The sequence below is a fragment of the Homo sapiens genome, chromosome 9, assembly GCF_000001405.40.
Source record: "Homo sapiens chromosome 9, GRCh38.p14 Primary Assembly".
Classification (NCBI taxonomy): Eukaryota; Metazoa; Chordata; class Mammalia; order Primates; family Hominidae; genus Homo; species Homo sapiens.
In genome coordinates, this window is record NC_000009.12 from 86940397 (window position 1) to 86955626 (window position 15230).

General features: G+C 46.0%; 1 protein-coding gene and 1 long non-coding RNA gene across 2 annotated transcripts in view, besides 3 other annotated features; one reads left to right on the forward strand and one right to left on the reverse strand.

Moving 5' to 3' along the window:
- Positions 325-1025: an enhancer, noted in NCBI's record as "OCT4-NANOG hESC enhancer chr9:89555636-89556336 (GRCh37/hg19 assembly coordinates)". NCBI's record gives its function as "activates a minimal SCP1, AML or CMV promoter by ChIP-STARR-seq in naive H9 embryonic stem cells {active_cell/tissue: H9 hESC(naive)}" and the evidence as "EXISTENCE:reporter gene assay evidence [ECO:0000049][PMID:30033119]".
- Positions 3966-7110, reverse strand: GAS1 (growth arrest specific 1). Its single transcript, NM_002048.3, has one exon. It carries the CDS (start codon positions 6381-6383, stop codon positions 5346-5348), a length of 1038 nt encoding a protein of 345 aa, NP_002039.2. The 5' UTR covers positions 6384-7110; the 3' UTR covers positions 3966-5345.
- Positions 6101-6170: a silencer, noted in NCBI's record as "silent region_19998". NCBI's record gives its function as "represses an Ori minimal core promoter by ATAC-STARR-seq in GM12878 lymphoblastoid cells {active_cell/tissue: GM12878}" and the evidence as "EXISTENCE:reporter gene assay evidence [ECO:0000049][PMID:35858748]".
- Positions 6241-6320: a silencer, noted in NCBI's record as "silent region_19999". NCBI's record gives its function as "represses an Ori minimal core promoter by ATAC-STARR-seq in GM12878 lymphoblastoid cells {active_cell/tissue: GM12878}" and the evidence as "EXISTENCE:reporter gene assay evidence [ECO:0000049][PMID:35858748]".
- GAS1RR (GAS1 adjacent regulatory RNA) overlaps positions 8302-15230 on the forward strand; it is a 53336-nt gene continuing 46407 nt past the window's right edge. Inside the window, exons 1-2 of the long non-coding RNA NR_049794.1 lie at positions 8302-8597; positions 10471-10603. This is a non-coding gene — a long non-coding RNA (GAS1 adjacent regulatory RNA). The remainder of the gene's footprint in view (positions 8598-10470; positions 10604-15230) is intronic.

The following is a 15230-nucleotide window of genomic DNA, read 5'->3' on the forward strand; positions in this document are numbered from 1 at the left end:
TTAACCCCATTCTGGTATCCAAGAACCCGTAAATATCCTATAGCACTTCTAAAATTTAAATAAAAGATAAACTTGTAAGGACACATACTGATAACCAGAGAACATAAAGTTGTCTATAATAGCATTTTATTTTTTATTACAGATTGAAGATGTCCTTGACAACATTGTGTAGATGCTATCTGTGTGCTTAAGGAGAACATGCTATAGATAATTATAGTATATACCAGCACCATTGAGAGTAGCTGTCTTTGATCAACTTTATAAAATTGAACTCTTAGAACAACAAAATCAGTAAAGTATTGTTTTGGTGAATACCGTATCAAAAACCATAGACATTTGATTTTATTATGGAACCCATGCTCCTGAAATAAGTGGAGAAAACACTTTCTGCATCTCAGCAGCCCTTCGGGATTCTCTTGCATGCATATTACACAGGGTTTGAAGGTAGCCCTCCAAAATATTAGCTGAAAGCTTCCTCGGAAAGCAAATCTTTCCCACATCCTTCCCTGCAGTTCCTCTTTAAGAGGTGTCAGCATGGCTGAAAGAATGAAGTGGCTGCACATTGTTTGGCTGTGCTATTATGTGCTTAACATTTCCATAACAAAAGTGCCACTCGACTTCTCCCCGATTAATGCAGCTCGAGGGCTCTTGTCGTCCTTTAATAAAACATTGTTGAAATCATTTATTTAGAGCCCCTGGTTACTAGTGGGAGAATGACCATCTTTGTGCCAAAATATAGTGTATACAGTCCACTATTTTGTAGTAGATCATTCTGTTATTTAAGAAATTGATTAAATTGATGCTTAGAAGGAAGGTATTTATGCTAATAGCACATGACTTATGTCATTCAGATAGTCAAGGGTGAACCTTTTCCACTGTCTTCCAGAGGCAATCTCTCAAATAGACTACAGTAAAGTCCAACTTTACTTCACTCACAAGGCAACGAGACCCACTGGAAACTCAACCCTCCTTAACTACATTGGCCACAAGGCATTTGCAACCTGATGCCCTCCCACAACCTTGCTTTGAGTAGCTGGGAGAAACAGGGTCAATTGGCAAGAGTTCTGATGTCCCTTGGTGTAAGAGGTCAAAACACAAATAACGCAGGCTTTTCTTTTTATGGGTTGAAAAGAGATACATGAGGTTATTTTGTTAGAGAGCCTCCACAATGAACTCAACAAGCTAACAATGCAAAGCCAAAGTTTAAAAGTAGACAAAATTTTAATACAATGTTTGAGGTTTCTGAAAGTCCTCATTGTATTTTGGGGATCTATTTTTATTTGATTCTCTGTAACATTGCTGGGATGGGGTGAGGGTGTCAATACAGATGGTGGCAAGGAACAGAGAAAGCTCACTCCCATGAGGGTTCTCCTGACTCTTCAAGGCAGAGAGATGGAAAGATTCTGTCTTCACTCACAGGGACCCCATCTGGAGAATGGCGGTGCACCCTAGATGTGTTAGAGCCTGGTGGTCCCTTAAATTTGTGGCAGTCAGGGCCAGGAGCTGTGTCCATCCTTCTAGACATTTGAAGCGTTGCTGTCCAAGTACAGAGAAGTCCTGCTACTTAGTAGAAGAACTTATTTCCCTACAGACACGTTTCCACTTTACATACGTGTATTGCTCACGTACATAGCTATATATTGTTTAAAATAAACAGGGACCTTATGTTATGTCCATTGTGATTATATACAAAAGCGTTGCTGTGTGCTCGGGTGAGCAGTGAAGCCTGAACCTCCTTCTATTTACTGTATGGTCACTGTCAGTTCAATGAACTGCCTCCTTGTTCTCGACCATTGTCCCACACTCCCTTAAACATTTGTCACTGAAGTGCCTCCAAAGACAAATAAACTGTCACTGAGAATTCAAACCTGCTAACTGGGGAAATGGGAAAGGCCGTGAGGACTCATGATTTTACATGAAATCTAGAAGGAGTTCCTCTCACTCTGGCAGAGTTCTGTTAGAAGGGTGATGCTTTTTGAGAATCCCCAGGAAAAGCCAGAGATACCTTTTCTTTCATTAATGGGACTTCCAGCCATTCTCCATGGGACATTTGAGATGGCCAAATGTCCAAAATTCCAAAAGGCTCCCCAGAGAGCGTGAGATATTACAGATGTCAACATCTGTAAAAATCCTTTCTGCTTAGAAGCAGATGGCAATATGCAATCTCATAACCACTAGCCAAAGGGTTCTAACATCTCAACAACCTCCGCTAGGTCTGTAGGGGTACCAGAGGACTCCTGGGCTCCAGTGTATAATTGTTTAAATTAAAATGGACCACCAATCAATGTTCACTTTCTTTAAGGAAGAAAACATAAAGCCTCGTGTCCTCTCTCCCCAAGAGCGAGTTGTGTTGATTTATTCCAGGCAGATGCTTTTGACAGGACCCTGTAAAATCAAGTTGTGAGTTTATTGTAGCAGTTAATTATCAGGCCTTTTCTAGTGCTAATGCCTTTTACTTCTTACTGGGGAAAACTGGGCCTTTTACTGGGACAAAGACTTAACTTTTAGTCAAGCATGTGTTAAAATAACATGAGATGGAGATGATTTAAATATATTTAAGGACAAACGCAGGAGCACTGCTAACTTGTCGTTTTGTAAAGAAAGCTGATTTCATTTACAAGTCTCTGGGAATACTCTTTGTTCGCTTCCCAAAGAAACAACGCTCTCAGCTTTGTTTTAACAATATGTTTACTCAACCATTCAGGTGACTGGAGATTCCAACCACACACCACTCTCCTGGGCTTAAGTCTGACACTACAGCTATCTTAGACTTTCTAATACTATACATATAGAAATCGTGGTTTTAGGTGCACCAAGAAGTGTCTTGAATACCTCCATAAAAGCTGGGAAAAGAGCGAGTTAGAAGCACAAGAAACCTTGAAAAGTAGGGGGGTGGGAGTGGGTATGAGGAAGTCAGAATGGGGGCATAGCTTCGTTAATTACTTTAGGCAGCAGAGAAATCTGGTTATGTTTTTTCAGCACATGTTAATATCAAATAAAGAGACACCAGATCTTGCTAATCTGTCGACCCCTCAGACAAAGTTTATTTGTGGTGACTTTTAAACTCCCGACTTGCCTTCCAATCACCGCGTTTAAAATGAAAAGCTTTAAACAAACACCAGGAATAGAAGATAAATAAACTTTTTTTCCCCCTTGCAAGTGCCTAGCTTGGCGAGGTTCAGGCTCAAATCCCTAGAGGACAGAGCGCTCTCTTTTGTGTTAATGTTTAAAAGATTTTCCAATGCCGGAGTTTATTCCTACTGCAAACATTTCTATTTACAAGGTCAAGTGTATCAGCACTCGACACAGCTTAAGAGTGTAATTATTTATCTAAGGGCGTTTGAGTGTAGATCAGTAGCTCTGGCAGGAACCCAGCCTTCAGCCACTGCTAAACAACTCCTCACAACAATATTACAAGTTCTGGTGATTGTTCCTTTCCCCTGTGTGTTTACTTTTGCTGGTCTGAATGTTTTGCAACAAAATTTTGTACTTTTTCACCAAAAGTGTGAAAATGACTTTGAAGTATTGAGCTTGCAAGCTTCCTAAAACCTATTGGTAACAGATGTTATTGGCATGTTTGATTGAGAATGGCTAGTAGCCAGAGAGGATACTCTTGGGGGTAAGGGGTGATGGGAAGGGGGATACAAAGAGGGGAGGTCTCAGGGGAAAAGGGGGAGGCGGGGCAACATGTCTGAGTTATCCTCAAATTATGTACAGGAGACACTATTTTGTGAATTCTCTCCACAAATGCAAACACCAATAGAAGCCAGTCAATTACATATTTTTGGCTGCCTCATTTACAGATGTCTAATTGTTCATTAAATTAAAGGCAGAAATAATTTCTTGTCTTGTACTGTATTTTCATTTCAGTTGATGGTTGATAGATTCTCAGTGCCCCCTCAACCCCCCTCCTCACCCATTATTGGGTTAACCACAATGTAACTCTGGAAAGTAACTACACCATATTCATTGTTTAAAACTCTTTACTGATGTACATGTTTTAATAAAACAAATAACCAAAAAAAATACACAAATCCATAGTTATTTAAAAACTTAGGATTTTTAAAAAACATGTCTATAAAAATACAACGTTTAAGGCAGTTTGGAAATGCATTTGTACATTTCTACAACGTCCATAAATTCTCTTGAAAATAAGAATGTTAACTTCAATTCTATAAAATACACTGTACATTTTAAGACTGTTCTAAATATAGCACACTTCACAATGGACTGTGGGTTTTGATTCCTGATGACAAATGGATTCTATACATTTCAGGGGGGAAAGGTGTAATATGGATGTGAGTTTAAAACTTTTAATTTCTTTTTAAAAATAAATTATTTCTGAAGCATACAATTTATAAAAATTCTATATACAAAGTACAGCAACTGGTAACAAACCCCAGTTTTAATACATTTTATATACGATGTACCAGGGTTTAGCAACCCTGATAGGAGCAGAGGCAATATACATTCTCCGCATATTTAAACATAAAATTTCTTGATGTAAAGAACAAAAATGACAAAAAAACAAACATCATAAAGAGACTTTCATACATGGCAGTGCAGAGCTTTTTTAAATAAAAAGTTGCATTGTTCAACACCATGGCAACCCCTTAGATCAGCATTTTTGGACCCTTAATCCTAAGAAATGTGCTAAGAGATCAGAGTGGTAGCAATGAAATTAAGGTCAAGGGCTCAAACTTATCCAAAACCAATTTAGGGGTTCCCTCTAAGGCAATCGCCACCCACCCTCACCCCCACGTCACTGAGAATTCTGGGCGCAGATACAAACAGTGAAAGAATGAATCGGTAAGTGGGACTTTTCTGTTTACATAGGATTATAATATCCTCACTGGCCACAATCTGTAAAAGTCGATACTGGCACTTTTTTTTGCCCCCTCAAAGGAAATATGCTAATAGACAGCCCCTTTGCAAATATAATTCCTCCTTCCCAACCCTTCAAATTGCTAAGGCCCCACTGGTCAGCACCTTCCCTTTCGAGTCCAGGACTACTGTTCTGTCCCCCACATGCTTGCTTCCTCCCGGACGTCCTGAACACTGCAGCTAGCTTTCTGGACGGCAGACGAGTTGGGAGTTTCTGGAGCTTGGAATTGGGGCGGGGGAGGAGGTCCAAGAAGTCAAGCTCCGGAGAGGAGCTTCAGGGGAAGTGCCCAGAGTCGTGGCCGGGGAACCGGCTACACCAAGTTGACTTGGAAAAAGTTTTGGGAAGTATCCCCAACCATCCCTTCTATCTGTCCCAAGCCACAGGTGCCCGGCGCGGGGTCGAGGCGAGCACGGGAGTGGGACGCGGGCTCTCCCGCAGCCAACGGCGGGGGGCGCGAGGGCTAAAAGAGCGGCCCAAGCAGCAGCAGCAAGATGGAGGCGAGTGGGGTCCAGGCGCCCCGGGGCGCCAAGCGGCCGCCGCCGCCGCTGCTCCTGCGCCCAGGCCCATAGGGCAGGTCCCCGCGGCCGCCCGATGCAGCAGCGCCGCTGCCCGGGCGCGGTGGGTGCGGGACGCCGTCGTCGTCGTCCAGCGGCTGCTCACCACCCGCGCCCCCGGTGCGCTGCTCGTCATCGTAGTCCTCATCGTAGTAGTCGTCCAGGCCCCCGTCCGAGCCGCTGCTGCCGGGGCCGTTGCCCAGCTCGGCGCCGAAGCACAGGCGGGCCATGTTCTCCTTGACCGACTCGCAGATGGGCCGCTCGAGGCCGTCGCACACGCAGTCGTTGAGCAGCGCCGCCTTGGGCATAGCCAGCATGTCCTCAATGACGGTGCGGCATTCGTCCGTGCAGCGCAGCCCGTTGAAGACTTTGCCGCAGTAGGTCAGGTAGCGGCTCAGCGCCAGGTTGCAGCGGCTGTCGCGGTCGCAGCGCCGCCGGGCCTCGGTGCAGCCCATGACCCCGCCCGCGCCGGGGCCGCCCGCGCCGCCGCCGCTCGTCCGGGGCAGGCACGGCTCAATGGCGCGCTTGGTGGACTTGCAGTTCTCGTCCTGCGCGCAGTCACAGTCCTCCAGGGCGGGCCCGCGGCGCGTGTGGTTGAGCTGAATGAGGGCCGAGATGCAGTGACTCGGGCAGCGCCAGCGCGACGAGAAAGAGGCGGCCGAGGCCGGGAAAGCGGCGGCGGCGGCCCCGGGCGCGTCGCCCCCGCCGTGCTGCGCCAGCACCGGCGCGCACGCCTCGGCGTACTGGTTGTAGGCGTAGCTGCACTCCGGCTCCCCCTGGCACTGCAGCAGCGCCTGCCAGCAGATGAGGCGGCGGCCGTGCGCCAGCCCCGATCCCCGCGGCGCCGAGCCCAGCAGCTGCAGCAGCGCCATCAGGCACAGCCAGGCGCCCGGCACTGTCCCCCCGCGGGCCTCGCCGCCGCCGCCCAGCAGCGCGGCCACCATCGCGGGCAGCGGCGGCCGCCGGGAGAGGAGGGGAAAGGAGACGAGGCGCGGGGAGCGGCGGACGCGGAGCCGGTGGAAAAGTTTGTCCAAGTCCTGCCCACTTCTTGCATGAGTGTCTTCATAAATCCATGCGCGCCGCTGGCTGATGCCCCGCTGGTGGCAGAAGGTCCCCTTTCGCTCTGGCTGCGGTGGCTTCCTGGAAATGAACAGCTGTCGAGATCTGGTCCCGCTCTCCCACCCGAGAGCCCTCCGCTCGGCCCCCGGTGGTGGCGGGAGAGGCTCACTGTCGCCCCGGGGGGGTGCGGGCCGCGGGGCCGTGGCGGGGCTGCAGGACCGCGCGGCGCGGCGGGTGCATTTTGCTCCGCGCCTGCAGATCCGTTGTGCGGCCGGCTGTCCCCGTGCCGGCTGCTCGCGCTGCGGCCGCGGCGGCTCCTTCCTCCTGGGCTCAGTGCCTCGCCGCCGCCACCGCCGCCGCGGTCTCTCGCATCGCGCCGCTTCCTGGCCCGGCGTCCGCGCGCTGCCCGCCTTCCCGCGGCCCGGCCGCCCCGCGTCCCCTCCCCCTCCGCCCGCGGCAACCCCGGCCTCCGCAGAGCTCCGGGGAGCTCTTTCCGGGAAGCGCGGGGAGAACAAGAAAGTCGGCGCTGCCGGAGAGCGGCTCCCTGGCTTCACTCGGCGGCAGCTTCTCGGGTGACCAAGAGCCCGGGGAGCGGATCCGCTGAGCCCGGCTGCAGACTCGTTAGCAGCGAGGCTTTAAATACAAAAGTGGGCCGGGAGCCCCCGCGTGGTGCCGCGGTGCCCCCTCATTATGCATGCATGGAAAAGCAAACAAACAAAAACATTAGCAACGCTCCTCCGGCTCGCCGAGCCCCGGCCCCGCGCGCTCCGAGCCTGCCCGCTTTCTCCTTTCTCCACTCTCTTTCGCCCTTTGCTCGGCCCCCTTTCCCGGCTTTTCGAGATGCTATTGGTCCTGCCTGTTGTTGTTGAAAGTTTTTTTTTTTTTTTTTACGAGCCGCTGGAGTGGGGTTGCGGAGTGGGGGAGGGCGGGAGGGTGGTGGGCAGCTCACATTCAGGCATTCAGGGCTTGAAAGGAACGGCTTAGGGAGCCTGACGGAGGCCCGGAGCTCCTCCTACTCTTAAGGAGGCTCGGATATGCAGCCCCAGCTCGCGCACAGAACCAGCGGGCAGGGCTTAGGGGCAGCTGTTTGCATCCGGCTCAGCCACGGGCCTTTTTTGTTTGTTTTTTTTTTCTTTTTTTTTTTTTTTGTAGTTTTATTAATTCTCGCTGGCCCCCATCTGTGCTTTCGACTGGATTCAGAACTCAGTTTATCTTCCAGGCTCCCTGTCTTTGGGTCTTGATCACCACAGAGGGGAAGGGGAGAATCCAGAGATAAAATGTGAGACTGAAACTGTTTTAAAGAAGCATACAAGAAAGAAGCACACACTTTATTAGGGAGATGTTGATGAGATGCTTACAACCCGCCCGCCACCCCCCAGCCCCAGCTAGGCCATCTGGCAGGTACCGCCCGTGCGCCAGGCATCGTTTTCAAATTGCAAGACCGAAATCCAATCAACCGAAATAATTTCTTAGGAAGATAAGCTTGCAACACGTGCAATAATGAAAAAATTTAACTAGCATTAAAAATATTCAGGAATGTCGAGCAATTACCACCTGGCCGCAGTCACAGGACAGAAGACGGAATAAATGGGCACGCACCAAAGGTTTATATTAAAGTGTAAGTTTCAGCCCCTCAGTATATTTAAGGGAGGCTGCTCTGCAGAGGAAACCTCTGCCTTCTCGGCGAGGGAGTTTCCGAGCTACCTTAACTGGGGCGCAACGCAGCCTTCCGCCACCAGAGGCAGCGGGCGTCTGCGGCCTGTCAAAAACTGGCGCTTTTTTCCTCCCCTTTCCGTGGAGAGACTATCAACTCCATCTGTCACAAAAATTAAGGCTAAATCTCCTCTCCAGAAGCAGAGGGAGCCGGGGCTCCGACGCGCTCAGCGTCGGGCTGTCTGCCTCTCCCTAGAGGCCAAGTGAATTTGAAATGGCAAAAGTCACAGCCGGAGGCCCAGCACTAGGAGATTCCTCCGGCTGCGGGAAATCTTCCTGTACCTGCTGAAGCTGCTGCGTTCCTCAGAGGCGCTTGGTCTGCCGTGGGAAGCTGCACCTCTGCAGTCCCCAAAACCAAAATCAAACCTTAAAAGAGCCAGACTGAGGTAAGGCGGACCGTCTTGCTCTGATTTGAGTATTGGTAGACAAACAGCAATATAAATCGATACTAAAAAAATCCAGAAAGGCTGCAACTTCATGGCACATCAAAACAACCATATCCCTGGCTCTCTGTCTCTTTTTTTTTCTCTATTATTTGGAGTTGTCCTCTCAGTCCGGCCTGGAGGACTTGGACAACTCAGACACCTTCTCTGTGTCTGGGATCCCTCCACAGGTAAGGTTCGAAGCCAATTAGACAATTGAAAAATCCCCTCTTGTCTTTAAAGCTTTGTTATTTTAGGCCCATAAGGAACAAAGTCAGCACTCGGTTTCATCTTTACTTGAATTTTTGTTGAGTTCCTTTAGAATAGTGGGACCCAAACCTTAGCACGTATCCTAAAACTCAGATCCCTAGTTTTTGGAGTTTCTGATTTAGTTGGACTGGTGGGTCCCAAGAATATGCATTTCTAACAAGTTCTCAGGGAATGCTGCTCTCAAACTTTGAGAATCACTGCTCTCAAAGTTAACATGTTTCTTTTCTGTGTTGTTGCTGTGTTTTTGGTAACACTTGCCCCACCTTGGCCTTGATACAGCTCTCAGTGGGGTTTAAGGGAGGCCCAAGAGCTCTGCATGCTTTGGGGACTTCTGCATCCCAGTCACATAGCATTAGCATTGCAAGCCTGAGGGGTTCTCAGCCCACTTTTTACTGTGTCATTTCCATTCACCACAATAGGCTATACTGTCTTCTATCTTAAAAAAACATAATAGTAAAACCTTCTAGACTCCACGTCCCTATTCAGTCACTATCCCATTTTCATGAAAACTTGAAAATCTTGCTTTTACTCACTTTCCCCACTCGATTCACTCTACATAATCGAGTTCCATTCGATTATGTAGAGTCGCTAGTGACCAAAACCTTGCTCTACCTGATTGTCACTTCTCAGTCCTCAGCTTATATGACGTTTCAGCAGCATTGGCCATGACTGATCACCTCCTTTTCAAAGCGCTTTCTAAAATTTTGGCTTCCGAAACTCCATACTCCCCTGTTCTCTCATTTTACTGCCTGGTGGCTCCTTCTGTCTCTCAACTCCTTAGGTAACCACATCTAGTGCCTTGATTTTAAATTGCATCTCCTAATTTGATGTTTTCAATCTCAGTCTTTCTCTGATCTCCATATGTATATATTCACTTGGTTCCAAGGACATCTCAAACTTAAGCTTCCCCAAGAGCACTTCTAAATTTCCATCCCCAAAACCTATTTGTTTACTGGGCTTACTGTGGTAGATACCCTCCAAAATTGGTCTCCATCACTTTTCTCCCTACCTTTACATCCTTACTACTCAGATCAAAAGGCAGAGTATAATCCCCTTCCCCTTGAGTCTTGGGTAGGCCTTACTGACTTTGACCAATAGGACATAGTGAAAGTGACTGACATTCTGGGGCCTCCAAGGCTAGATCACAAGAAGCCTTGCAGCTTCTACTCGGGCCTTGTATTAGTCCGTTTTCACACTGCTGATAAAGATATACCCAAGATTGGGCAATTTACAAAAGAAAGAGGTTTACTGGACTTAGGGTTCCACATGGCTGGGGAGGCCTCACAATTATGGTGGAAGGCAAGGAGGAGCAAATCACATCTTACATGGATGGCAGCAGGCAACGAGAGGGCTTGTGCAGAGAAACTCCTGTTTTTAAAACCATCATATCTCATGAGACCCATTCACTGTCATGAAAACAGCATGGGAAAGATACACCCCCATGATTCAGTCATCTCCCACTGGGTCCCTCCCACAATATGTGGGAATTATGGGAGCTACAAGATGAGATTTGGGTGGGAACACAGAGCCAAACCTTATCAGGCCTCTTGGAATACTTGCTCTGCAGAAGCCAGTCACCACGTAAGACATCTGGACCACCTTCAGACTCGCATGCTGTGAGGAAGCCCATGCTTACTATGTGTAGAGGATACATGGAGAAGGAAAGAGATGCCTGGCCAGCTCCCTGCTGTTTCAGCCATGTGAGTGAAGAAGGCACCAGACTTGTGAGTGGAGACACTAACTTGGATGTCCAGCCCAGCTGAACCTTCAGGTGACTCCAGCTCTAGCTGCCATCCTACTGAAGACACATGAGAGAGACCCCAAGCCAGGGTCAAGATCAGCGTGAAGCAAGTGAGGCATTTTGGTGCAAAATGTAAGGAGGCATTGACCTTCATAATTGGGCTCCAAGACTCCAAGAGTGAGTGCCTCCTTAAATTTTGTACTTTAGACACTACACTCACCTTTCTCTAGTTCTGGTCTTGCCTCAAGCAAGAAGAGCAGAGCTTAGCTCAGTCAACCCAAAGAATCCTGAGAAATAACAAAAAAATATTCTTTTAAGCCACTCAGTTTTGAGATGGTTTGTTATGCAACAATAGAGCATTAGAACTTTTCTTCCTGTCCAATTGCTTAGGTGAAAGATGCTAGTATCTGCCTGAATTCTTTCCTTTTCTTCACATTCTACATTCAATTAATGGCTCATCATAGGTGTCAATAAAATATTTGATAAGTTGAATGAATGAAGAATCAGCACTTCTTGTCTTCTAAATCAGCCAACTCAGAACTAGTCCAAATCATTTCTACTACAAAGAACAGTAATAAAGACCCTGAGAGATTAAAGAATACAGAATAGTTCTGAAGTTTTAAAATATAAAATTATATTTCCAAAAGGGTTGACTGGTTCAGTGAAAGAACAAAAACCTCAATCAACAAATACCAATTACCTTTTGGTGCTTTAGCAACATAACCCAGATAAAGTAGGAGGAGATAGACTTCTGCCCTCAGAGGACTCAACAATATGTCACTTGGCCATTTGGAGTTGTCAGAGGCTCTAACCACTTAGCAGAAGTCTTAAGTCACAGACACCCTGTATTAGTGTGTTCTCACACTACTATAAAGACTGGGTAATTTATTTAAAAAATAGGTTTAATCTGCTCATGGTTCAGAAGGCTTTATAGGCTTCTGCCTCTGGGGAGGCCTCAGGAAGCTTACAATCATGGCTGAAGGCAAGTGGAAGCAAGCACTTCTTCACATGGCTGGCAGGAGAGAGAGAGCAAAGGAGAGGGGTGCTACACATTTTCAAACAGCCAGATCTTTTGAGAACTCACTCTCACAAGAACAGTATGGGGGAACTCCCTCCATCCCTTCCCCATGATCCAATCACCTCCCACCAGGTCCCTCCTCCAACACTGGAGATTATAATTCAACATGAGATTTAGGTGGGGACACAGAGCCAAACCATATCACATTCACTCTCTTGTTTTCTTTATTTACTTGCATTCTTAAAACCAGAAAATATTAATACTTCAGTTTGTGGCAGATACTGCATGGAAACCAAGCACCATCTACTCTAGAATTCTACATTAGACTTTGTATCCTGAAGGTTTACCTCATTCTTCACAAAAGTCTTCCCTTTGTCTGTTGCCTTCTTAAGAAGAATTAATTCTTGGGAACAAGATAGAAGGATGGGAACCTCATGTAGAAGGAAATCCCTTTCATGCACAGTAAAGCAGGGTCATTCTCCCAGCTAATGATCTGGAGCCTCCTCCTGAACCCCAGCTTTGCTTATATCTTCGGCAAGGACCATCTTCGCATCTTTGAGCCCTATTAATTCCATCTAAGAAAAATGTTGTTCACATTCACCCTCCCTGTCTTCTCATGTCCTGGTTTCTTCAAGGTTTTCTTCATTGCTGAATACCAGGTCTTTCCCAACTCTCCTCCAAACCAGGGATTGTAAACCAGAGAAGCATCTCTAAAGGACTCGGGAGCTTTTTCAAAATACATATGCCTGTGCCAACTTCATTACACTTGAATTCTTCCCCAGGGGCCAAGGAATGTGTACTATGGAAAAAAACAAACACACACACAATGGCATATTTCTGCCTCAACCACTCAACATCAGTGGTTGCTAGATTTTGAGATTTCAAAGATCCGTTTATTTTCAAAAAAAATCTGGAATATCTTTTAAAAAAAGATGCCAACTTTTTATTTTATCAAGCATTAACAAACAAACAAACCTACTACTACCATCTGTTAACACCAGTGTCTTATTAAATAAAGAGGATTTGAAACCCCAAAGGCAGAGAAAGAATAACCAGAGAATACAGGCGAGTTGAATACATTTAGATATTTAAAGGACTTACTATATTGTCCTATTTTTTTTTTTTTCATTTTAACTGAATTTACGACACAGGGGAAACTTCTTCAGAAACTTTTGCATCTTCAGACAGCATTTTGGAATAACTACTCTAAAGCAATCCTCCATGCTGATGTTAAATGAGTCGGATGAAATCACTACTCCACTTAAAAATTTATAGTGACTCCTCAGGAAAAAGTCCAAGGTCACTACCAGTGTTACAGCAGTTTGAGGTCTGGTGCAGTGGCTCATTCCTGTAATTCCAGAACTTTGAGAGGCCTAGGCAAGAAGATCACTAGAGCCAGGAGTTTGAGGCCAGCCTAGGCAACATCGCGAGACCCCATCTCTACCAAAGAACACCCACAAAAATTAGCCAGACATGGTGATGCGTGCCTATAATTCTAGCTACTCAGGAGGCTGTGGAGGGAGGACAAAAATTAGCCAGACATGGTGATGCGTGCCTATAATTCTAGCTACTCAGGAGGCTGGGGAGGGAGGATCACTTGAGCCCAGGAGGTTAAGGCTACAGTGAGCTATGATCACCACTGCACTCCAGCCTGGATGACAGAGCAAGACCCTGTCTCAAAAAAAAAAACAAAAAAAAAAACGCAGTTCGAAAGACCCATTCCAAATACTTAACCCCATCTATTCTTGCCTGTGCCCCCAAACACAAACGTATATGTGCACACACACATGCACTCACATACACATACATATGATGCATGTACTCACATACATATATGGATGTACACGTGCACACTCATGCAGGCACACACAGGCACAACATATACCCATGCATGCACTCACGCATACTCATTCGTGCACACACATACACACAAACTGGAATTTCTCTTCTGAGTATCCACCATGGCATCTCCATCCTGCCCTTCTCCGGGGACTTTGGTATGTTGGCCTCTTTAGCAGAGAAATGCTTCTGTCCCCCAGCTTTAAGGGATTACAAGAGAAAGTCTCCCTTTTGACGCTCTACTCCTGGATAATACATGTAAAGTCTCACCGCCCCCTTTCTATGTGCACATACTCTTTGTAACTGTAGTCAACGCTGAGAAATCCATGTTTGTTGCTTAAGCCACCCAGTCTATGATATTCTGTTATAGCAGCCCAAACTAAGATAGTGGATGAAAAAGACAAATTTTTCTAGTAAACAAAGAGCTCTTAGAAATTTACAGCAAAAGGGCCAGGCACGGTGACTCACGCCTGTAATCCCACCACTTTGGGAGGCTGAGGCAGACGGATCACTTGAGGTCAGGAGTTCGAGACCAGCCTGGCCAACATGGCGAAACCCCATCTTTACTAAAAAAAAGAAAAAATACGAAAATTAGCCAGGCTTGGTGGCAGGTGCCTGTAATCCCAGCTACTCGGGAGGCTGAAGCAGGAGGATTGCTTGAACCCGGGAGGTGGAGGTTGCAGTGAGCTGAGATTTTGCCACACCTCAGCCTGGGCGATAGAGCAAGACTCAGTCTCAAAACAAAACAAAACAAAACAAAACAAAACAAAACAAAACAAAAAAAAACAGGAAAAGGACAAACCAAGGGAAAATGGGTGAAAGATAGAAACAGACAATTCACAGAAGCATAAATCCAAATTGTCAGCAAACAAGTGAAAAAATGTTTAAATTAACTAGTAGTTAGATGAAAAGAAATTAGAAAACAATGAGATATTACTTTAACACTCCATAGACCGACTAAAATGTGAAAGCACTTTGACAGCCAGTTCTTATAAAGATACCTTCAAAAGTTGCTTGTGTAAATGTGAAATGTTGGATTCTTTTTTGGCAATACCTTTAAAATGTAAAATACAAATACTGTTTGGCCCAACCCATTCCTGAGAATCTTTCCAATAATAATAAATACTGATAAGGAAGGACACTATCTGCATTCTAGCCATTCCAATAGAAATAATTACTTTTTTCCTCCAAAAGTTCTAGCAAAAGTTTTGGAACCTCAATTGATCTGGGCCATGTGCCCATGTACCTTAGTGAAAGAGATGAGAAAGAGAGAGAGAGAAAGAGAGAGAGAGAGAGAAAAAGAGAGAGAGCACTTCCTGAAGGAAAACCAACGCTGTCATGATGAGAAAAATCAGCCGCTACACCAGGGCTCCACAAATGTGATCCAGTGCTTTGTAGTGGTCCCTGATGAGATGGACCACTCAGCTCATTAGAGCAGGCATTTGAATACTTTTATAGCTATCTCATAGAGTAATATGATGTCAGTTGAAGCTAATAATAAAATTTGAGGCTTCTGTTTTGTAGGTATTCTTTTTTCTAGTAACTTCAAAAATTTTGTTTTACAAACTATCTATGATAGACAAAAAAATTCTGCAGTTTCAGAACAGACAATTTGAGAAGCACTGTGAAATATATACATTAAAATACAAAAAAGAAATGGATACTGGTTATTTTCTTTGGTTTTAGAGGTAAATAAGTTGTCTGGCACAGGAACATAAGGATTTGGCGC

Coding starts and splice junctions, on each gene's coding strand:
- GAS1 (NM_002048.3), bottom strand. CDS start 6,383: ATGGTGGCCGCGCTGCTGGGCGGCGGCGGCGAGGCCCGCGGGGGGACA.